General features: G+C 37.5%; 2 protein-coding genes across 6 annotated transcripts in view, besides 1 other annotated feature; one reads left to right on the top strand and one right to left on the bottom strand.

Annotated features, from left to right (window-relative positions):
- Window positions 1-24,543, top strand: part of GLMN (glomulin, FKBP associated protein) — a 124,443-nt gene that overhangs the window by 3,900 nt on the left and 96,000 nt on the right. The window lies entirely within an intron of this gene.
- The window catches only part of RPAP2 (RNA polymerase II associated protein 2), a 102,998-nt gene that overhangs the window by 35,112 nt on the left and 43,343 nt on the right, over window positions 1-24,543 (bottom strand). Inside the window, exons 11-12 of one of the 5 annotated variants that reach the window (XM_047430820.1) lie at window positions 21,031-21,099; window positions 3,175-3,236 (exon numbers count right to left, since the gene is read on the bottom strand). In XM_047430820.1, coding sequence (XP_047286776.1) covers window positions 3,175-3,236; window positions 21,031-21,099 — 131 coding nt within the window. Of the gene's footprint in view, window positions 1-3,174; window positions 3,237-9,046; window positions 9,389-15,068; window positions 17,294-21,030; window positions 21,100-24,543 lie in introns of those variants that run through there. The other 4 variants (XM_017002363.3, XM_011542167.4, XM_017002364.3 and 1 more) reach the window with 4 other exon arrangements.
- Window positions 1,187-1,236: an enhancer, noted in NCBI's record as "active region_1313". NCBI's record gives its function as "activates an Ori minimal core promoter by ATAC-STARR-seq in GM12878 lymphoblastoid cells {active_cell/tissue: GM12878}" and the evidence as "EXISTENCE:reporter gene assay evidence [ECO:0000049][PMID:35858748]".

The following is a 24,543-nucleotide window of genomic DNA, read 5'->3' as shown; positions in this document are numbered from 1 at the left end:
GAACAAGTGGTAAATGATCAAGGATTAAACCAAAATACCTGTTTGCACACCCATACAATCAAAACTGAAATGAAGAGCTGTGACCAGTAACACCAAGGGTCAAAATGTCACCTATTTCCAGAAATTGCAGGGCTCCATACAAACCCCAGACATTTTGCAAAATGCCTCTCTCAGATACTGAAAAAAAAGTCTGGTATATACTTTCAAAAGGAATTTTATCTGTATGTTAGATAAAATATACAATATATACTGCATGCTCCTTAGCATGAAAGTAATTACAATTTCATGTTTAATATTAACTCTTTCTCTGCCTTGCTTGTTTGTTATTGAGGAAAAGGCAGAAGATTCAACTCCATTAGTGAGACACCGAAAACATCTGTCTCACATGTGGCCCCTGGCTTCCTCCCCAAAGTAACACAATAGCTCCCTGGGCATAGAGAACGAACCTGTCACCCTGTTGAAGAGTTTTTGTTTTTCCATAAAATAACATGGACTGGGCCACATGCATAGGTAACTACTTTGTGGTACTTTGCTAAACTGCTGTTATTGATGTTGTTTTTCAGTAAATATGGTTTTATAATTGATAAGGAAACAAATGCCAAGAGGTCAGAGCTAAATTTAAAATTCAGACACTTTTTTTAAGAGACATGGTCTGGCTCTGTCACCCAGGCTGAGGTGCAGTGGTGCAATCACAGCTCACTGCAGCCTCAAACTCCTGGGCTCAAGCAATCCTTCTACCTCAGCCTCCCAAATAGCCGAGACTACAGGCAAGCACCACCACATCCGGCTAAAACATTCAGATACTTTAAAATGGATGGTGGGAAACTTTCTAAATTGGAGCTAGAGAGCTTCTCCTGAATGCCAGTTCTTTCCTAGTTGTTCCCTTTGTGGCAGGAAAGATCTCAACAACTCAGTCAAACCTAAGAAGCTATCGTGATTTCCAAGTTTGTTAAATTTTTTTTTTATGAGACTGACTTGTTGGTCTTCAACCTTTCTGTGAAGTTGCAGGAAATGTTGAGGCTCAAGTGACTTTCTTAAGGTCATGTAAGTCAGTAAAAGATGAACAAATAACCCCAGAAGTACTCCCACTAGTCTACACTTCTAACCGCTAGACCACACAAGTTCACATGTCTGATTCATTTTAAGAACTGAGTAGATCTTACAATTTTCAAAGACCCACTTGGATATACTCTTCAAATAATTTTTGAAATCTGTCATAACCAAATAAAACGTACAAATGAAAACCAACAGTTTTGCTGTTTCTAATTCACCCTTCCTTTGTGATAGTCAAGAGGAACCTTTCAAACTATTAACGATTTTAGAAAAAAGGTTAAGTACCTCTAACCAAGCAAATCCTGGTATATGCAGCTAAGTCAACTGATTTAGCACTTCTCTACTTAGCACACCAATGTGCACTAGAATTAAGACAGTGGTTCTCAATTCTGCCTGCACAAATTAGAATCACTTGGGGAACTTAAAAAATTCTTATGCCCATGCCCCACCCAAGACCAATGAATCAAAATCTTTGAATCAGCCATTAGTATTTTTTTAAAACCTCCCCATGTAATTCTAATGTATAGCCAGTATTGAAAACAACTGATGTGAAGCTGTGTTAAAGTTCTGAATTGAATAAATTTGTGTAGTTCTGTTTATTTGTTATACTTGTTAACTACACTTTTGGAAGAAATCGGATAGTAAAGAAAATGAGATTTTTATATAAATGTGTAACAAAGCAGAAGGGCCCAATGAGAGGTCTTACTTAAGGGGGTTTATACAAGGGAGGTATTATTTCTGACTGTGGGGTGTTAAGGAAGGCTTCTAAGGAGTTGGTAACATTTGAACTGGATCTTGAAGGCTAGAATAGGCAGATATGAAAAGAAAATAAGTTTCAAGCATAGGTCAAGTCCTATTGAAGATGATTGTGGGGGAAACAGTCAGTGGACATAATGTGAAGACATAAAAGGGAAATAAGGTGAATAGGTAAGTTGGGGCCACTTCTGAAGGGCCTTGAATTTCATGCAAAATTATCTGGTAGGAGCTGGGAAGTCACTAAGTTGCTGAACAAAGGCCTGCCTTGATCAGAGTTAAGCTTCAGTGAGATGATTTTTAAAGCTAGAGGGAAGGATGGACTAGTTGAATGAAGAGACACACGGCAAGGAGACCTGCTTGGGAGGGCTATAATTGCAGCAGTCTAGGCAAGTAATGAAGGCCTAATGTGGGTTAGTAGCAGTGGCAATGGAGAAAGCTAACTGTATACAGAACTAAAAGGACTTAGCAATTGATTAGATATGAGAGATAAAGAGAAGCACAATTCTGGGTAATTAGGAGGATACCAATGCCACCAAAAGGGGCCATTTGAAAGGCAAAATGACTTAATCTCAAATTTGAGAGTTTGAAATGCTTGGGAGATATCCAAATGAAGGTGCCCAGCAAAAAATAAAAAAAAATTTGGTCTACGATTTAGGAGAGATGTCAGAGCTGAAGATACCATTTTGGGGGGAGAAACACAAGAATTATTTGATGAGGATGACCAATTTTCTTTCTAGGTAACTCTACTTTTCTTCCTTATATTTGTCTTGATTTTTTGAACTATTATCTCATTAGTACTCTTCCAAACCTCTTGCATCCTTGCTTTAGCTTTTCTACCTAGCAAAACCTACACCCTGAGATAAATGTTGCAATCTGCTTTCTCCATACCTATAATAGATGGCTGGAAACTACTGGTGGTATGGAGATATGGGGAAGAAGGGAACCCTGAAGGTCGATACCACTACAAATCCATGATCTGTAGCCTCATCTGGATACTTAATGTCACTTGTCAATTTTCTCTCACCCTGAATTAGCTCCTTTTCTGGATCCTCTCAATGACTACTCCATTATCATTACAGTTGACCCCTGAGCAATGCAGGCATTAGGGACACTGACCCCCTCCCCCATGCAGTTGAAAATCTGTATATAACTTTTGACTCCCCAAAACTTAACTATAAATAGCCTACTGTTGACCAGAAGCCTTAGAGACAACATAAGCAGTCGATTAACACATATTTTATGTTATATGCTTATAATAAATATTACATAATGCATATGTAAGGATATGTATTAGATCCTTATAATAAAGTAAGCTAGAGGAAAAAAAATGTTAAGCAAATCATAAAGAAGAGAAAATATATTTACTATTCATTAAGTGGAAGTAGATCATCATAAAGGTCTTTATCCTTGTCTTCACATTGAGTAGGCTGAGGAGGAGGAGAAAGAGAAGTGGGGTTGGTCTTGCTATCTTAAGTGTGGCAGAGGTGGAAAAATATCCGCATAGAAGTGGACTTGCACAGTTCAAACCCATAAACCCATGTTGTTCAAGGGTCAATTGTGTTTTCACTCTTTATACAACCGTAACTTCTGTACTCTTAGAAGAGAACCTCATACCCTACTTCACTGAAAAATGAAGTTGTTAGGCATGATGTAAAAATCTCTCCCTTCTACCTATAAATGCATCTGCAGCCACGCTGTTCTTTTCTTCCTGTCTCAGAAGATGTAGTATTTCTCTCCTGTTCACACTATTCCATCTGCCTGTGCCATGATCACATTTCCTTGTGCCTCCTCTGAGACCTGCCCTGTTCCATCATGTGTATCTACCTTGCCCGCAGCTTCAAATTATTTTTCTTTATTGGCTCCTTCTCCATACCGTATGCTTAAGTCTGTTTCTATCCAAAACAAATGGTTACTGTTCAATCTCTTTCCTACCCTTATCATCAGGTTCCTCAAAAGAGAAGCCAACGTTTACTGACTCCACTTCCTTATCTTAACTTGAGATGCAGGGGTTCATAGACTCCTTCAAATTATAAAAAGGCTTTTATTTTTTCAAATGTGCATTTTTTTCCCCCTGGAGAAGGAGTATAGATTTTACTCCTACTTTCAATGTATAACCTTCTATCTCAATGTATAACCTTGGCTGCAAAGAATTAGCTAGTGGCACTTAATTTTATATGTTTGGGAACTTGATTGATTTTGGAGCATGTAAAAGTTGTGTAAGTCTTAGTATTTTAGAGCAACATTTTTTTCTGCACTGAAACCAGAATAATACTAGTTATAACCTGGCAATTTTTTTATTCTCATGAAACATTTTTGCAGTGCAGCAGATTTGTCACTCATTGCAATGAAAAACCTGTAAGTGATAAAAAACATTATAATGTGGGGCCTCAAAACTCACTGAAAAGAAAATTAGTATATAAATAAAATGGAAATAGTCCTGGAGATTCAATTACTGTAATGTCTTTTCACCACCACAAAAATTGCAGGTGTTCACCAAGCAGTTTTGAGCAGTTTCTGAAGTGCTTTTGCTGCACTCGGAATTTTCAATGTTAAGCCTTGTGTATTCTGATATGTTCCCATCTTTAAGGCAGATTATACTTGAGCTGTACTAAAATGACAAACAGCCAAATCCCAAACTCATTCAAAGCGAATGGTGGGACAACACAAACAGCCAATAGTGAGAAGCAGAAAATTCCAGGCTCTTTTTCACCATTCTGGCTTGTAAAATCTGCTTTAAAACTTTGTAAAAATATTTAAACAAGGAATAAAATGGAAGCATTTGAATTTTGCTTCCAAAAACCACAGGACTTTATTGGTTAACTGGAATTATCAGAATGAGAAAAGCCAGAGGCAGGAAGAATATTTAAAAGCTGTTGAGTCTCTATAATATACAATCTAAATGGAAGTGTTTAACAACAGAGGAGAAAACACACTCGGTGATCAGGATCTTGAATTTAACGAGCACTCTTAATACACCTGGGAATAATTTTTTTCTCCTTATAACTTTCATTTAAGTTTGCAAGGCTATGTTTTAAAATACATTCAGTAAAACTAGTTAAAGGAAGAGTTTGCCTCTTGAGTAAAAAATTTCCATTAGGACCCATTAATATTTGATAAATGCTTCCAATTCAACGAACAAATATCAACATGTAAAACATTTAAAGAATTCTCCAGAATTGTATCTGTGATGCATCAGATAAATAACTAAAAGACTTAGTGCCACCTCTATCGACCTGGTGATTAACTGCTCTATAACCAATTCTTCTATTTTGTCAGTCCACAGAAAACAGTTACGTCCATGGAAGATAAAAGCAATATTTGGAATAAAGTTTTGAATCAAAGAAACATTTTAAAAAGTTAAAGTGTTTACTAATTTTATAACTAATGAATTAAAAGATAATCTCACATTTACATCTAACTTTGTTTTTTGTTAATTTTATTAAAGATTTTATAAAAATTGTATTTGCAAAAAGGCAATGCTGGATTTGGTTAAAAGTAGCAATTCTTTTAAGGCTAAATAGTCCCATCTTTATCAGACTGTATTCACATGGGAAAATATGAATCATTATACAGATTACATCTCTATAATGAAAGTCTTTTCTTCAGTCACAATAGTAAGCAACTATTTTTGTTTTTTCACGTGCAATGCAATTTTACCAGTGTTATCAAATCTATGCCATAAGTCCATAATATCAACAATAATTTATCCAAGTTTTTCCCATCCATTCATTCTTTTGATGTATCAACAAATATTCACTGAATGCTTACTAAGTGCTAGAGTAAGTGCTTGGCACTAGGAAGACAAAAGTAATCCAGACAATGTATTTGACTGCATGGAGATTATGTTTTGGTAAGAAAACTGCTTCAAATTTACCTCACTTACTATAGGTATCTTTCCTGGTTTAGCACTGTTTACATATTGTCCAAACACAATATTGGATAAATGGAAATTCTCTTATTCTCATGTAGAAACTTACGTGTGTGTGTGTGTGTTTATGTGTGTGTATATATATATATATGTGTGTGTGTGTGTATATATATATTATATATATATATATGCTTTTTGCTTTTGGTAAATTACATGTTTATGTTCCTAAAACCGACTTGTGGGTCATGGAAGGTGAGAAGGCAGGGGAAGGTAAAAGTCATGAATATGAGAAAATAAAGGTTAGTCACCATAATTAAACATAGTGGCTGTACAACTCAAGCTCAGAAATGCCTAAATTAATTCTCCTAGGGGAATAATTGACCTGTGGAGAAAGGGAGGTAAGAATCAATCAGAGCCAGAATGAAACTAATAATACAGTAATGAATGTAACAGTAATGAAAATTAACAATATGGGTTTTTGGGAGCTGAAATATACAAGGTTTGGTTTCTGCACTTTTGAAATTAAGAACAGGAGGCAAAATGTTACCAAATAACACTGACATTTAAGGCAAGGAGAGAGAAATATGTTGCAGATATGTAGGAAAGTGGGTGAAAGGAGTTAGGAAAGAAAAAGAGGCAAATACACCTTTGATGTCATTCCCAGTCTCTTCATGGGCCACATTCCACCAGTTACCCTCTAGTTCTTCCAGCCTTGCCTGTCTAACGTCTCCTTCCCCTCTGCTACCAAAATGCTCAAACTTCCACTATCCTGAGAATCTTCTGACAATTTATCATATCATATTGGATTATAAACTCCCTCTCCTTTCTGCTTTTGCCAACCATAAGAAAAGAGTAGTCGGCATTTGCTCCGTCTAGTGCCCCAACACCATATGTAATACTATAGCAGCCTTTGCAATCTGGTCTCCACTCCTATCATTCTGTAGAAACTGCTTTCTTGAAGGTTACCCACACCACCTAATTGCCAGGACCACAGTCCTTAGTCCTTATTCTCATTTTCGTTTAGCAGACAGCAACTACTTCATCTCTAGAAAGGTAGTTACTACATTTTTCTTGACACTTAAACTTACTTTGGACTCTTTAACAGTGTTCTGGTTGATTACATACCTGTCTGAGGCACACTGCAGTGCAAAGTACATATTTTGAAGTCAGATAGGGTCTGAGTCTGAATCTTAGCTCTGACCTTGGGCAAAGTATATGTTTTTACAGAGCCTATTTCTTCCGTTGGTGAGTGGAACACTACCAAATTACCAGACTGAATTGTGAGAATCAAATAAAATAATGTAGAGTCTAGCAGTGTTTGCATTTAGTTGGTGCTCAAAGTGTCTGTTTCCCCTCCCTCCCCTTTTCTGCTTTCTCTGTATTCTTCAGGCATCCTTGGCCTTGATCCAGCTGTCCCACAAAGTTCTGTCCCATCTTGACTCTGCATTTAACATCCTCTGCCTCTTGCCATTTCATCCATCCCAATGCTGACACTAAAATCTAGGTCTCTGATTTTCATCACCATTCTTCAGCTCTAGTTCCACATTTTCAACTCCTGTCAGGGAGCCATCTAACTGATAATCTGCCTAAATCTTAAATTGAACAGGAAGTCTCAGCACTTGCAAAACAGGTATAAAACCAAGTGCATTGCCAGGCACGATGGCTCATGCCTATAATCCCAGCACTTTGGGAGGCCAAGGCGGGTGAATCATCTGAGGTCAGAAGTTCGGGACCAGCCTGGCCAACATGGTAAAATCCTGTCTCTACTAAAAATACAAAAATTAGACGGGCATGGTGGCGCATGCCTGTAATCCCAACTACTTCGGAGGCTGAGGCCGGAGAATTGCTTGAACCTGGGAGGCGGGGGTTGCGGTGAGCCGAGATTGTGCCATTGCACTCCAGCTTGGGCAACAAGAGCGTAACTCTGTCTCATAAATAAATAAATAAATATAAAATAAAAACAAATGCATCATCTCTTCCAATCAGTTCTTCCTACCTACTTCCCAGAAGGCATCAGTATCTTCACAGCCACCTGTCTTAATATCTTAAAATTATGTTTGACTTTCCCCAGCTTTTCAAAATCCTGTGGATTCTAGAGCTGTAGTGTTTCTCATAATTTGTCTCTTCCTTTTCATTTCATTGCCTCATTGCTCTTTGTTTAACTAGGCTGTTACTAGTAGAGGCTTTGAGAAAATCAATTCCATAAAAGGTGGGGGCAAGATACAGAATGCAAAGGATTAATGAGAAGCACTGGAATTACTGAGAGCAGACTTGCTCTTCAAGAAGTTTGGTAGGTGAGTGGATGATAGCCTGAGGTCAAGAACAAAGGATAGGTCTATTTGTTTTTTCTGTTTTGTTTTTTTTAAATTTAAAGATGAATAGGCTGGGCATGGTGGCTCACACCTGTAATCCCAGCACTTTGGGAGGCCAAGGTTGGGGATCACTTAAGTTTAGGAGTTCAAGACCAGCCTGGGCAACAAAGTGAGACCCCTATCTCTACAATTTTTTTTTTTAAAGCTGAGCAGGATGGTGCATGCCTATGGTCCCAGCTGCACGGGAGGCTGAGGAAGGAGGATCACTTGAACTCAGGAGATTAAGGCTTTAGTGAGCTGCGACTGTGCCACTGCACTTTAGCCTGGGTGACAGAGCGAGACCCTGTCTCAAAAGGAAAAAAAATAAAGATGAGCCAGCCCCTAAAAATTTTAAGTACAGTGAGACAAGCATACATTAATCAAGTAATCATACAATTAAATATAAAACTGAAAACAGGATAAGTGCTAAGAAAGAAAAGTATATAGTGTTGTAAAGGCCTATGTATAGAGATATTTTATCTAGTCAGGGAAGTCAGGGAAAGTTTCGTGAGGAGGAAACACTTCCTCAAGTTCTGAAAGATGAAGAGGAATTAACCAAGGGAAGAGGGGAGAGAACATTCTGGACCTGTGTGCTACAGTGGTAAAGACTATGATGAGAAACATATGAAAGAAGGTCAGAGTGACCGGAATGGGAGAACAAGGTAGGATGGTGTGAGATGAGGCTGGAGAAGAAAGAAGGGCTAGACCACAGGGGTATGTAGGCCACAATAAAAAGTTTTTCTTTAAGAGCAATTGAAAGCCTTTGAAGGGCTGACGCAAGGTGGAAGATAGTATCAGATCTGGCTCCAGATCTCTGAAAGACTAACCTTCCTAAAACACAGATTTTATGATGTTATTCTACTCAAAACTTACATCAAGGGAGGATCACTTGAACCCAGGAGTTTGAGGTTACAGTGGGCTATGATCACGCCACTGCACCGCAGCCTAGGCAACAGGGCGAGATCCTGTGTCTAAAACAAACAAACGAGCAAATGAAACTCCACAAAAAACAAAAACAAAAAATTTAAATGACTTTCATTACCCACTGAATTAAGTTTGTCTGCCATTAAAGAATTTATCTCAGGGGCAGGGTATGGTGGCTCACGCCTGTAATCCCAACACTTTGGGAGGCCAAGGCAGGCAGATCACTTTAGGCCAAGAGTTCGAGACCAGCCTGGCCAACATGGCAAAACCCCATCTCTATTAAAAATACAAAAATTAGCTGGGTGTGGTGGCGCATGCCTATAGTCTTCAGCACTCATGAGGATGAGGCACAAGAATCACTTGAACCTGGGAAGCAGAGGTTGCAGTGAGCCAAGATCATGTCACTGCACTCAAGCCTGGGCAACAGAGACTGTGTCTGAAAACAAACAAAAAAAATCCATCAGTACAACAGACCCAACCTTTCCTTCTAGTTATCAGCCTTATCTTGCTTTTTTCACGCTATAGGTACTTCCTAGAATACTCTCATCTGTTCTATTTCTTGAAATCCTTTCTGTCTTTTGAACCCATCAACTTTGTATGGCCCCCCAAACAGATCTTTTACTTCTGTTATAACCTCCCAATTGAAATCTTTTACTTCTATGAATCCCAACAATATTTTGTGCCTTTTTCTTTTTTGGCATTTAACACATTCAATTTTTTATTGTAGCTACTTGTGCACATGATTTCTCCCTTTCCTCAACCTCCAGTAGGCTGTAAAGTGTTTGAGGGAAAGGGATTTGTTTAATCTTTGTATTCCCTACAGGGTCTAAGACACAGTCTTACTCATAGCATTGCTCAATAAACATCTGTTTGTGTGTGTGTGTGTGTGTGTGTGTGTATGTAATCCTTTTTTTCTTTTTTTTTTTTGAGACAGAGTCTTGCTCTGTCACCCAGGCTGGAGTGCAGTGACACAATCTCAGCTCACTGCAACCTCTGCTTCCTGAGTTCAAGCAATTCTCCTGTCTCAGCATCCTGAGTAGCTGAGATTACAGGCGGTCCCCGCCATCATGCCTGGCTAATTTTTGTATTTTTAGGAGAGACATACTTTAACCATGTTGGCCAGGTTGGTCTTGAACTCCTGACCTCAAGTGATCCACCTGCCTTAGCCTCCCAAAGTGCTGGGATTACAGGTGTGAGCCACTGCGCCTGGCCCATTTTTTAATGAGACAAAAAAAGTAGAGAATAAAAAAGGAAAATGGGCCAGGTGTGGTGGCTCATGCCTGTAATCCCAGCACTTCGGAAGGCTGAGGTGGGCAGATCACTTGAGGCCAGGAGTTCGAGACCAGTCTGGCCAACATGGCAAAACCCCATCTCTACTAAAAATACAGAAAAAAAAAAAAAAAAAAATTAGCCAGGAGTGGTGACACACACCTATAATCCCAGCTACTTGGAAGGCTGAGGCAGGAGGATTGCTTGAACCCAGGAGGCGGAGGTTGCAGTAAGCCAAGATCAGGTCACCTGTACTGCAGCCTGGGTGATAGAGAGAGATTCTGTCTCAAAAAATAAAAACAAAAAAAGGAAAATGTTATTCCAGAGCTATTTTCTAAAAAATTCCTTAAATGTGATTTGAAGAATCAGAAACTCTCACATAAAATAACTTTCTAGACTTTTCTATTCATTGTTGATACTTATTCCCAGAATAAAATATAAATAATAGGCTGGGCATGGTGGCTCACACCTGTAATCCTAGCACTTTGGGAGGCTGAGGCAGGTGGATCACTTGAAACCAGGAGTTGAGACCAGCCTGGCCAAGATGGTGAAACCCCGTCTCTACTAAAAAAATTAAAAAATAAATAAATAAAATGTAAAGAATAAATTGGATGAGGAAAAAAAGGCCCACAGTTGGAGTGAGGATTCTGTAAGTAAAACAGTTTTAAAACATATTTTAACATTTAAAAAATTAATTTACACATTTCATTTTGCTCTTTACCACCTTTATTATAATGTGCAGATACTAAACCACTCCACGTTCTCCTTTTGCATTTGAGGAAAAGTTCCATATCTTTGATATGAAGAGCAATATAGTTTGAGTATCCCTTATCTAAAATGCTTGGGACCAGAACTGTTTTGGAGTTTGGATTTTTTAGAATTTTGGAATACTTGCATTATACTTACCGGTTGAACATCCCTAATCCAAAAATCCAAAATCTGAAACACTCCAATGAGTATTTCCTTTGAGCATCATGTTGGTGCTGAAAAAGTTTCGGATTTTGGAGCATTTTGGATTTTGGATTTCTAATACTTAACCTGTATAATGTCAACTAAAGTCTGCACTAGAAAGAGAAGGCATCTTGGGGGTGTTCCTCTCACTTTCTTAAATGAGTACTCTGAAATCTTTCCATAGAAAGAGTGACTGACTAGTATTTCCCTGCCAAGCTTATGATGGAGATACCTAACAAAGTATAACACTTGGACAGTGTCACCATGGAACTCCATTTGCAAAATTAAATTGTTTCCTATGCTAAATATACTCATCTTTATCTCTTTCAGAAGCCTTTGATATATCGCATGAAAACAGTTTCTTACTTTTTACACCTCATACTTGAATTAGTACTACCAAGTTGATTTAACCTGGATTTACTCCAATCCCTCATACTGCCAACAATAGTCAATGAAGTTAAGTAACTTGTACAAGGCTACACTGATAGTTAGGAACAAAAATAGGATATATCCAGAATGAGACTGAGTTTAGGGTTTCAAGAGACCCTTGTATAGTTAAAGGTAGTCTATGGGGTAGAATAATTATATTAAAAAAAATGTTAAATAAAAATTAATGACATAAGGACAAGGTGGGAGGATTGCTTGAGCTCAAGACCAGCCTAGGCAATGTGGTCAAACCCTATCCCTACAAAAAATAATAATAATAATTAGCTGGGTATGGTAGCATGTGCCTGTAGTCCCAGCTACTTGGGAGGTTGAGGTGGGACGATTGCTTGAGCCTGGGAGGCAGAGATTGCAATGAGCTGAGATCGTGCCACTGCACTCCAGCCTGGGTGACAGAGAACCTGTCTCAATAATAATAATAATAATAATAATAATAATTTACATAAATTAAAATTGCATTTATTTAATTTTAGGCACAAAGCTAATGTCCCCAAATTTGAAAAACCAAGAGGCATGTGAGGTTAGTACCATTAAAGGACTTCCAAGAGAAACAAAAAAAGTAGACAAGAAGAATATAATATTAAGAAGTATGTCACTATGAACTTTCCATTTCAGAACTACTATCTAGAAAACAGAGATAAAAACTTTGATTATAAGAAACTATGATAGCCAAATAAAATAAAATGTTTTTCTTATAACAGATGGTTTATGTCCTGTTAATGTTTGCATTTAATGCTTTAGGTTTACCCATTAATAAGGAAGCAGGGATGCTTTCCACTGATATTTCTAATTCAAAAGAAAAAAGTTCTTTGTAACTCACTTTGTGGTGATATATTACACATAGGTTTGTTTAAAGGGCTGGGTTACAGTGACTTTACAACTTTATATCTAATTCCTGTTTGTGACAGATCTATAGAACAGCTTGGCAGATGAATGCTGGAAAAGCTTTTCTTTATCATTGTTGCCTTGTAACAATTCTCTCAGAATAGTGTCTCCAGCTTTTTTTCAATACTCTAAGATTGAAATGTAATCAACTATGGCTTCCACACACAATGATTATCACACCCTTATAGTGGCAGACCCCGATGCTAAGGTTAACAGTTCCCTTAAGCTTCATGCTTCCTAGCTCTCAGGGAGCTCAATCAGGATGTGATGATGGCACTAGCAGATCTAGGGACTGGCTCCTAAAATCAAGGCTGTGATTTGCAAGGGCCAACTGCTGCTAACTGCTGTCATCACCACCACTGCTGCTGCTTGGGATAGTGAAGTTGGAGTGCACATCTTTTTGCTCAGGATCCTTGGTGACTTTTAATGTGGAGTATGGCCTGAAGTTGGAGACACTCAACTACTTATGAATAAAAAAAAGAGTAGCATTATAAAACTGCCAAAGATATAGGGAATTCTGTGGGGAAAATTAATGTAGAAAATTGGCTTTGATTAAAACTTTGAACAAGTATTATTTCTTTAGAAACTATCTAGATTCCCATATAGTTCTGTTGGCTGAGGGTAAAGTTATTTCAATTTAAAGATATGTTTTTCTTACATAAACTCTCAGCAATAAGTATGGGAACGTATAGAAATAATCTAATTATTGCTTAATCCTCAGTAAACAGGTAAATACTTAAACTTCACAATGACAAAGGTGATAGGATAGTAAATATCATAAGATAACAAATTCAAGATGTATATAAGCAAGAAACAAAAAATGAATTTTATGGATACTGAGGAATCCAAAAGAATACCAGTAGCTACTGTTCAGACATTTATATGGTTTCAAATTGAACACTATGAACACCGTAACCTTTGTTTTTAGCTTGAAAGTACTCATTTTGCGTGTATAGTAGAAATTCCTAAAACATAAGAAATTGATGTTACATGTCCATGAAAACCTAAAATCAATGAGATTAGGCATATTTAAGTTTTTGGGAAACTGCATATATAAGCCTTTAAAATGACTACTGGGTGTGAAGCAAGATGAGATAATTTGTAAAGTTCAATCTTTGGAGCCCTCATACTTTGCTAGTGGAAATGTAAAATGATACAACCACTGTGGAAAACACTTTGGCAGTTCTTTAAAAGGTTAAACAGAGTTATCATATGACCCAGCAATTCTACTCCTAGGTATATACCTAAGAGAACATAAAACATATGCTCACACAAAAAAATCTGTACATGAATGTTTATAGCACTGTTATCCATTAAATAGCAAAAAATGGAAATAACCCAAATGTTTGTCAACTGATGAATAAACAAATGTGGTATATCCATACAATGGAATATTATTTGGCCATAAAAAGGAATGAAGTACTGTTACATGCTACAAAATGGATGAATCTTGAAAACATGTTACGTGAAAGAAGCCAAATACAAAAGGTCACATATGATTCCATTTATGTGAAAAGTTCAGAAATAGGTAAATCTGTCAAGATAAGAGAATGGATTTATGGTTGCCAGAGGACTAGAGGAAGGGAAATTGGGACTGAACTAATAGATAGGAGGTTTCTTTTTTGGGTGACAGAAATGTTCTGGAATTAGATAGTGGTGATAGTTGTACAACACAGTGAATATACTAAAAACCAGTGAATTGTATATTTTGTATATTTTAAAATATACAAATGATGAACTGTATATTAATTTTATCTCAACTTTAAACAGCTCAGTTAAATATAAAAATTCCATAGTTGTAAGGAAATATAAAAAAGTAATTTCAATGATCTTCAAATATGGTCTCAGATACCTAAAATTAAATTTGGACTGTTAAGGGAAAGAGTTGGGAATACTTGTAACCAATAAATTTCTAAGGAACCATCTCTTTGTTTTTCATGGTATGTTCACAGATTTTTCTGAGGAAATTAGTGATAGGCAGGCTTTAAAAAAAAACAGCCTGCTGAGGCAAAAGCCTTACTCACATCTTTCCATTCAGGCCTGGTAGCCCTAGGGAAGTGACTCTCCAGAGTATCTATCTGTATGATGGTTACCTAAAGTGGCTGCCTATGTCCAGTGATGGCTTTTGTTTAGCGATCATGGTCAAGTTGAGCTTGTTTAAATACCATTTCCCAGGACTTGCATGCTACTCCCTGAACGACAGGAATACTCAAAGCTTTTAGAGAGAATAAACTATTGTATGGTCTCTGCCTAGGAAGCGGGCCACAGTTCACTGGAAACAGCCAGTTCAGATAAATAAAATGAAAGCAGACATTTTTGGAGATGGTCTTGAAAGCTTTCCATTAGAGAACATCAAGGGCATAGAACTAGGAATAGCATGTATCCATGTTAGACTACTACAAGTCACTTTATCCTCTATCCTTTCTGAGTAATACAAAGTACTCATCTCCTTCATTGGATAACCAAATAATTCACACAGAACACAACACACACCTCTCTCCCTGGCCACCAAGAGACATTTGACTCCTATGATACAATTGACCACAGACCATCAGAATACAAAGTAGTGGCTTATTTACAAAGCTTTTATATTAAATTTGGGAGGAAAAGTTACATTTTAAGTATAAACACTTGAGGAAACCTGATTCCCACTTCTGGCACATAGGCTGCACATAAAGGAACTCGGGCCAGTCAAGCTGCTTCTCGATAGCCTTCTATATGTCTTCTCTTTGGCTGCCAGTTTTGGTCTGGACGTTTCCCTGTATTTCTCAGTTTTAGGTCACCATCAGCACAGTGACCTCTTGTGTTACAGGCTCAAATATACTGACAGAGGTCACAGAAGACTGGGGAAGACCAAGAGCAAAGGGAAGAGGGAAGGAGTAAATGGGACAGAAGCTGAGCGATGTGTCCTATGGCTAGAAAATCTTCTCAAAATACCAGTTAAATCTCAAAAAAGCTATTCTGAATACTGTGACCATGATTAAAAGTGATTCTTTACTTTCAGGTTTCTTATATTGTGGGTAACATGGAATTATGAGGAATATAAAAACAAATATGATATACTTTGATACCACATCAAAAAATATAATTTTATGCAATTCATTATGGTCCTTTCTTTTTTTTTTTTTTTTTTTTTTTGAGACAGAGTCTCACTCGGTCACCAGGCTGGAGTGCAGTGGCGCAATCTTGGCTTACTGCAACCTCTGACTCCCTGGTTCAAGCGGTTTTCCTGCCTCAGCCTCCCGAGTAGCTAGGATTACAGGCACATGCCACCACACCCAGCTAATTTTTGTATTTTTAGGAGAGATGGGATTTCACCATGTTGGCCAGGATGGTCTTAATCTTCTGACTTCGTGATCCACCTGTCTCGGCTTCCCAAAGTGCTCACAGGCGTGAGACACTGCACCCCGCCTACTGTCCTTTCTAACTTCAAAATATATAAATACATTAATAAGCTTTACACAGTAGAGTATATAGGTACTAAATATTTATAGAAGACTATCTTTTATTTTGAGACAGAGTCTTGCTCTGTCGCCCAGGCTGGAGTGCAGTGGTGCCATCTCAGCTCACTACAACCTTTGCCTCCTGGGTTCAAGTGATTTTCCTGCCTCAGCCTCCAGAGTAGCTGGAACTATAGGCATGCCCCACCATGCCTGGCTAATTTTTGTATATTTAGTAGAGATGAGGTTTCACCACGTTGGCCAGGCTGGTCCTGACTTCAACTGATCCGCCTGCCTCGGCCTCCCAGAGTGCTGGGATTACAGGCATGAGCCACTGCACCTGGCCTATAGAAGACAATCTATATATACTTATATACATTTTTATTAAAAGTCATGCATCAAAGATTGTGGAAAGAGCCTAACATCTCAATAGGGCATATTTAGTTAAGAAAATCAGGTTCAACTCTGTATTATTTCACTATATAGTACCTTTTCCAGGAACAAAATCAGATCTAAGAGTAAAGTCTGATAAACTTCAACTAAGATGCAAAATTACAACCAAGTACTTAAGCAATAAATCTGAGCAATTATCAGGTTATTTTATTGCATTTCTAATGAGTTCTTCTAAAAAAAGTCAATCAATTATCACTGTTATATATGTTCTGTGTGTAAGGAGTGCTTGAGAGTCTTTAATTGTAACATTTATTAAATAAGAATAAGAGGACATTTTTAAAGGAATTAAAGGAACATTAATTCCTTCATAAATGTATAGTGCTTAAGCTCTGCTTTAAAAGGTCTTTCCATGTGCTCTTGGGTAACCACTTAGGGCTGAATTCATAGTATAAATATCAATAAATGTTGCAATCACAATAGTAATTCAAGTCCCATGGAATCAGTGAGAAACCTAAATGAAGTGGGAATGGGTCATGGTGTATTTTCATATGGGATGCATTTCATTGAGTGTGCAATGATCAACTGTACCAACTGGTCAGATTTTTTTCTGAGATACACAAATACAATTTCCATCAGTATACATTGATAAATTACATGTTATGGTCCAAATTATTATTATTATTTGAGATAAGGTATTGCTCTGTTACCTAGGCTTGAGTGCAGTGGCATGATTATGGCTCTCTGCACCTTGATCTCCTGGGCTGAAGAGATCCTCCCACCACAGCTTCCCTAGTAGCTAGGACTACAGACATATGCCACTGTGCCTGGCTAATGTTTTTATTTTTTGTAGAGACGGGGTCTCACTATGTTGCTCAGGCTGGTCTTCAACTCCTGGGCTCAAGCAATCCTCCTGCCTCAGCCTCCCAAAATGCTGGGATTATAGGCATGAGCCACTGCACCTGGCACAGATTTAAAAAATGTTAATACATCTGTGAAAGAACAATGAAAGTCACCAGGAGAAGATGGCTTACTACCAAAACTCCTTATTTCCTTTAAGAATAAAGGTGTGAAAATTCAAGACTCAGTTTTATTTATGTTATCCTGGACTATCATGTTTTGGTCAAAATGTTGATTTTTTTCCCCCTTTAACAAGAGTTAGACTTGTGGCATTATAGCAACATACTAATACAATTATATATAGGTGTATGTATGTATCCTCTTCTAAGAGTTCACATGAGGAATTCTGAAAACAGCTTTCATGGATTAAACAAATGCTATTATAGTAATAATAAAACTTAGCAATATTCATATATAAAGAACAGTTCTACTGAACATATTATCTTATATTCATCTTAAGTGACAACTGCCATTTAGAATCTTTTGCCTAGCTATAAAGACTTATAAGCAGTTTGTTTTTAAACATGAATTCCAGAAATGTCTACAAGTTGTGACTTAAAAATTCCATTGGAAATTTGAGAGTAGATGTGAAAATTTTCTGAATAATAGGATAATTATTTTTAAAAAAGACATACACCCATGTATGCCTACAGTCAATGTTAGTGGCAATAAGCTAAAAGGCTGAAAGGTGGGGTTACTTCTCCACAAATAACGTGTGCATGTGTTTCGTCCTTTCTCTTTATATGTGCATGTCTCTGGGTTTCTAAAGTCTCCATATTTTCACTGTAAGGCTATTTATCCAATGCTGGCCTTCATGCCTGTTTTTGCTTTCCCCAGTGACAAAATGCCTTCTCTAAAATGTAATTGTGAAAACTGTAAGGGGGAGAAGAGGGGTGGAAATACACATTAAAGTATAATTATACTTTATAGAAGTCAATGGAGTTTTAACATGATGAATATGTATTTTAATTTTATCCCTAACTTGTACAGTAGTATTTGCTATAAAAAGGTGACAAATGGACAAAGTTGGAGATAAAAAAAGTCTATCAGTTGAGCCACAGATTTCCAGTGGGGGCAGAAATATGAAAAGCTAAAGGGGAATTTCTGAGAAAAGAGGAAATAAGAAAATAATATGGGGCAGGAGACAGAAGTCTTAGAAGCTGATGATCAAAAGAATAGGGAGATTCAGCTAGTGAAGATACAGAATGTGCAAATGCAGAATGAAAAGAATCTGCAAGGAAGGCCTAGAGCAAAAGTTAGAATTATCAGAAAACAAGATTTCAAAGGCAAAAACCTAGGAAACACCACTTGTCTTGGTGTCTATAGTGACCAAAGATTTTTAAAGAAGCTAAAAGGGTTTCCCCTAACTGGGGAAGATTTTAGTTGTCCAGTTGACCAATGACTAGGAGAAGGAAGGTTAGATCTAGAGGTAGGGATTAGGGCATAACGAAAGAGAGAAGGGATGCAAGGTGAATGACAAAAGCAAATAGTGTTTACTGCTACAATTTCAAGATTGAGTGCCCTAGGCCGGATGCAGTGGCTCATGCCTGTAATCACAGCACTTTGGGAGGCCGAGGCGGGTGGATCACAAGGTCAGGAGTTCGAGACCAGCCTGACCAACATGGTGAAACCCCAGCTCTACTGGGCATGGTGGCAGGTGCCTGTAATCCCAGCTACTCAGGAGGCTAAGGCAGCAGAATTGGTTGAACCCGGGAGGCAGAGGCTGCAGTGAGCCGAGATTGTGCCATTGCACTCCAGCCTGGGCAACAGAGCGAGACTCCATCTCAAAGAAAAAAAAAAAGATTGATTGCCCAATATGAAACATGCGATACACTACAGTAAAATGTGTGCAATTTGTTCCGTGAATTCAATTAAGGCACAATTTTTATGGGTCACTGACTCTTGAAATAAGAGGTTCCCTACATTATATCCAAAGTTAAAGAAGTCAAACAGTGCCTAAAAGGACTAGCAAAGCTTTCAGTATTTTGTGCCACATGGATGCCTCTATTAAAATCAAACACTAGAGAGGTTTACTTTTGTATAGAATAATCATATGAAATTTTAATGGTAGCCTTTATTATTTCATTTTCCATACTTTTTCAGTTCTTTGCTATATATTTTAGATAAGATGTGGCAAAAACTTAATCCAAAAACAGTAGGACTTAATGTGTCTTCAGTAAGCAGTGCTCATGATGATAATACTTTCAGTAAGTGGCTTAGAAAGCAAGATTCTGAGATTAGTGCTGAGCCTAGGCCTCTGACTTGTCGACCAAAAAAGTTACTTCTCCCTTTAGTATAATGAATTGCAGAACTACAGTTAGACAGTTGTCTATAAGTGTTTACTAGCAGGCATATGATCTGGTGGGTGAGCAGAGATACTGATATTTTCTTTGCCAGTGACCAAAATATTTACAAATTTCATAAAATGGAAAGAACTTTCTAAAAAATTAATAAGATCTGTTTCACAAATTACCAATTCAGCTGGAACACTGAATAGTAGAAATGACAAAAGATTTGTTCTTATGGTTGATAAAAAATTTATATCAGGGCATTCAAGTAAAGTTATTTTCTATGTTCTGATTTAATGAATCATGTGAGTTGCATCTAGTTGGGTGACACAGATTCTGGCTCACTGAAGCCTACTCTAATGCTTCTCAGCACAGCCTTCCTAGGGACAGTAAAGCCAGAATAACATGTCAGACTGAAGTAATATCAAAGAAAGAGAAAGCAGGGCTGGAGAGGCTATGAGATTGATTCATAACACTTTTTGACCTGTGAGTGTCTGGTAAGTTTTCAATGTCCTATGGGCTTCAATGACCTCTAACAAGCACCAAGCAGCAACAGTAATGCAATAATGAATGATCCTCAAAAGAAGAATTTTACAATTCAAGCTGAAAAACACTACACTTATTGAATAGTTTTAACCCTATTGATAAATAGCCTTAGAAACCACTAGTGGTTTCTTAAAAGCTGAATGAGTACTAAATGTTTTATATATGCTTTTGTAGTAAGCATCTGGTTTAGTTCCTTTAAACCTGTCAGATTTTAAAAATGTACATTAATTTGAAAAACTTTTTTGGTGCTAATAAAGTATGTTGACAAACAAAATAATATTAGATATGTAAAAATACAGATGTAAAATAATGAAGCCCATTCAATGTTAATATAATAGACTACTAAAAATGAAACGAAAAGACTATTCTGTATATACTCCACATGAGGATATTTGTCTCTTTCCAAGATGATAACAGGCTGGGTGTGGTGGCTCATGCCTATAATCCTAGCAGTTTGGGAGGTAGAGGCAGGTGGCTCTCTTGAGTCCAGAAGTTCAAGACCAGCCTGGGCAATATAGCAAGACACTGTCTCTACAAAAAATACAAAAATTAGCCAGGCATGGTGGTGTGTGACTATAGTCCCAGCCACTAGAGAGGCTGAGGTGGGAGAATTGCTTGAGCCTGGGAGGCAGAGGTGGCAGTGAGCTGACATCACACCAATGCACTCCAGCATGGGCAACAGAGCGAGACCCTGTCTCAAAAAAAAAAAACAAAAAAGAGATGAAAACAAATAGTATTTGTAAAGAATAAGGTATTCAGAAGAAAAGATGGTAAAAAATATAGAGAATAATTACATATCACTTTAAATAAAAATTGTTTTCTTACATAGGAAAGGAAAATAAGGCACAAAATAGAGGTATGATATTTTCCAAGGCAGTTTACAAAATCAGTGGATCACTTTGTTTTTCCCTAATCAATATGCTTCACATTTAGTATTTAGAGTTAAAATCTGAGAGAGTACTTACAATGACAGCAACACCATAGCAATTAAAGTCCATTCCGCAGGTTTGTGTATAATATTTCTATTTGTTAACCTGAAAGATAGATAAAATTTATCCAAGGAGTGTTACCTTTAAATAAACTTTCTATTTCTTTCTAGATAACATCAGATTTATAATAATGTGCCAAAGAAGCACTTTTTTTTAAAATACTTGTTATATTTGACAGGAAAGAGTCAATAGTATAATAATGTGGCTCAATAGTCACTATCTGATAATGGCCATCTCAAAAGGAAGTGTTCCAGCCCCACTTTTATATGTTTTTAATAATATTACTACTAGACAAGATAAGCATGTAGGAACAATGTGGGAAACTAAATTGCTTGATTAAAACACACATATCCCCAACAAACATACTCATAATATTCTCTATGCTTTCCCCTAACCAAGCAATTCCTCCCCTCCCCTCTTTCCCTCCCTCCCTCTGTCCCTCCCTCCCTCCCTTCCTTCCTTCCTCTCTTTCTTTCTTCTCTCTCTCTCTTTTTTTTTTTTTTTTTTTTTTAAAGAAACGGGGTCTTGCTATGTTGCCTGGGCTGCAGTGCAGTGGCTCTTCATAGGCATGATCATGGTGCACTGTAGCCTTGAATTCCTGGGCTCAAGAGATCCTCCTGACTCAGCCTCTTGAGTAGCTGGGATGACAGGTACATGCTGCTGTGTCTGGCTTAAGGTAAGCAATTTCTGATTTTAATTTTACTTCATCTTCTGTACCTTTCCATCTGGTGCTAGGTTGGTAGCAGGCAATTAAGGCATGTTATAATGCATAATTTACAGAAATGAGAGTTGGCTTAATAAATTATAAGAATAGGTCTTTATTAAAGAAAAGTTCAGTTTTTAAAAAAACAGAAGTAAATTTTATCATTTAGCCATTAATGGCAACAAAAAACTCTGTAGTCATCTTAGATTCTCAGAAAGCATTTAGAAAGATCACTCTAAATTTAAAAATTATATAAATCAATAAGAAAATATCAGCCAATACATAAATGGTAAAGGATATGAACAGGGAATTTATAGAGGAGGAAATTTGAAATGGACCGTGAAATTTGAAAAGCTCAATCTCACTAATAATTTGAGAAATTAATATAAAGACAATAATTCACTCCATCCACCTGGAAAAATGAAAGACTGACAATACCAAGGGTTGGTGAGGATGGGAAGAAATAGTGCCTTTAACACACTGTTGATGTGAGCAATTGAATGACAATTTGGCAATATCTAATAAAGTTGAAAATGCATATAAACAGCCCAGCTATTTATATACTTCTAGATATAAAGCCTAAAAATACTCTCACTTATACATAAAAAAAATGTGTGTTAAAAAAATGGGTTTTAATGCAACTTTGCTTGTAATAGAAAAATAAACTGTGGCATATTTATAAAATATTAAATAGCTGTTAAAATGAATAAACTAGATTTACATATTTTGCTCATCATAATTTTGAATGAAAGAAAGCAAACATCGTATAGCATTTTCTTTTTTTAGACAGAGTCTTGCTCTGTCACCCAGGCTGGAGTGCAGTGGCATGCTCTCAGCTCACTGCAACCTCCACCTCCCGAGTTCAAGCAATTCTTCTGCCTCAGCCTCCCAAGCAGCTGGGATTACAGGCATATGCCACCACGCCTAATTTTTGTATTTTTGTAGAGGTGGGCTTTCACTATGTTGCCCAGGCTGATCTCTAACTCCTGGCCTCAAGTGATCCACCCGCCTCGGCCTCCCAAAATGCTGGGATTACAGGTATGAGCTACGGTGCCCAGCTGGTATAGCATTATTTATATAAATCAAGAACAGACTAAATACTAAATATTGTTTATGGCAGTAAACATACAAAAAAAAGACTAGAAGGATACACATCTACTTCACAGTAGCAGTTGCTTCTGGGGAGGAACGAAGAATGGATTGGGAAAGGGAACAAAGGGGACTGACTTCATGCCCTCTTCCTCCTTTGCATCAGCTATTCCGTCCATCTGAAACAATCTTCTGCCAGGTAAGTTTCCTTATGTCATCTTTGCAATAAGGCCTATCTGGACCACAGTATTAAAAAGTACAACTTGCCCTCTACCTCCCAAACCCAATATTCCTGACCTCCTTATTCTGCTATATGTTTTTCTTTTTTTTCCATACCACTTATTGCCTTCTAATATATAATTGTTGTTTCTGTTTTTTCTTGTCAGAGGGCAAGAGTCTTTGTGTACTTCACTATTCCAAGTTTACAGAACAAGTGGCTGGCCGTCAGTAGGCATTCAATTAATACTTTTTGAATAAATTAATTATAATGTTTTCTTTAAAATATATACCTGAATCAAATTTTAGAAAATATTAAAATCTATTAATTCTGAGTGGAGGATATATTTTGTTACATTAATCTGAATTTTCCCCATCATTTTCCAAAATTTAAAAAAGCCTAGATGATAGGAAGTACAGTATATAATGGTTAGAGTCTGAAAGATATGGGTTTAATATCCAGATCTGTCCTCAGTAGTGTTTTATTTTGGACACGTTGTTTGATGGCTGTGAAACTTACTTTGGTAAAATAAGGACAATAATATCACCCACCTCACAGGGTTCTTGTGAGGATTAACTGTACAAGAGACAGCCATACTGCCAAATCCAACGGACATTTCGCAACCCTCATCTTAATCTGTCCAGCACTTGACAATCACTCCCTTCTCCAGGAAACATTTTCTTTACCAGGTTTTCACTTGCCTGGTTCCCCCACCTCTCATGAGCACTCTCCTTGGACCTTTTAATACTGGAGTGTCCCAGGGCCTCTGGCCTTAGGTCTCTTCTCTCCTGTATAAACAAACACTCTTTCCCTTGGTGATGTTATCCAATCTTACGACTTTAAATATTAGAAACTATATGCTGACAACTCTCAAATGTATTAGCTCTAGTCTGGACCTCCTCCTTGAATTCTAGATTTCTGTATCTAAGGGTCCACTTGACACTTCTACTTGGATGTCTAATAGGCATCTCAAAATTTGGTAGAGCCAAAATTGGGCTCCTCATCCTTCCCCCAAAACTAAGGATGGTGTGACACTCCTATCTCAGTAAATGGCTTACCCTATCCTTCCAGAATCCAGTTGCTCAGGCCACAAATCTTATGGTTAAACTTGACTCTCTCACATCCCATGTCCAGCCAGTCACCAAATCTAATGATTCCACCTTCAAAATAGGATCTGATCACTTCTTATTACCTCCACTGCTTTCTCTTCAGTCACACCATTTCTTACCTAGATTACCAAAATAGTCCTGGCTATTTCTAGCTGTATTGGTCTCTCTGCCTCGGCCCATCTGTTGTAATTATCAACTTGGCAGCCAAAATGATGCTGTTAAAAAATGTATGTTAGATCATGTCATTCCTCTGTTCAGAACCTAGCAATTACCCTCCATCTCACTCAGAGTAAAGGTCAAAGAATGATCATAGCTACAAGGCCTATACAGTCTGTACTACACCCAACCCCAATCCCATACTTCTCTGACCA

Source organism: Homo sapiens, chromosome 1 (assembly GCF_000001405.40).
Source record: "Homo sapiens chromosome 1, GRCh38.p14 Primary Assembly".
In the NCBI taxonomy this organism is placed as follows: Eukaryota; Metazoa; Chordata; class Mammalia; order Primates; family Hominidae; genus Homo; species Homo sapiens.
This window is presented reverse-complemented; position numbering and strand designations above follow the sequence as displayed.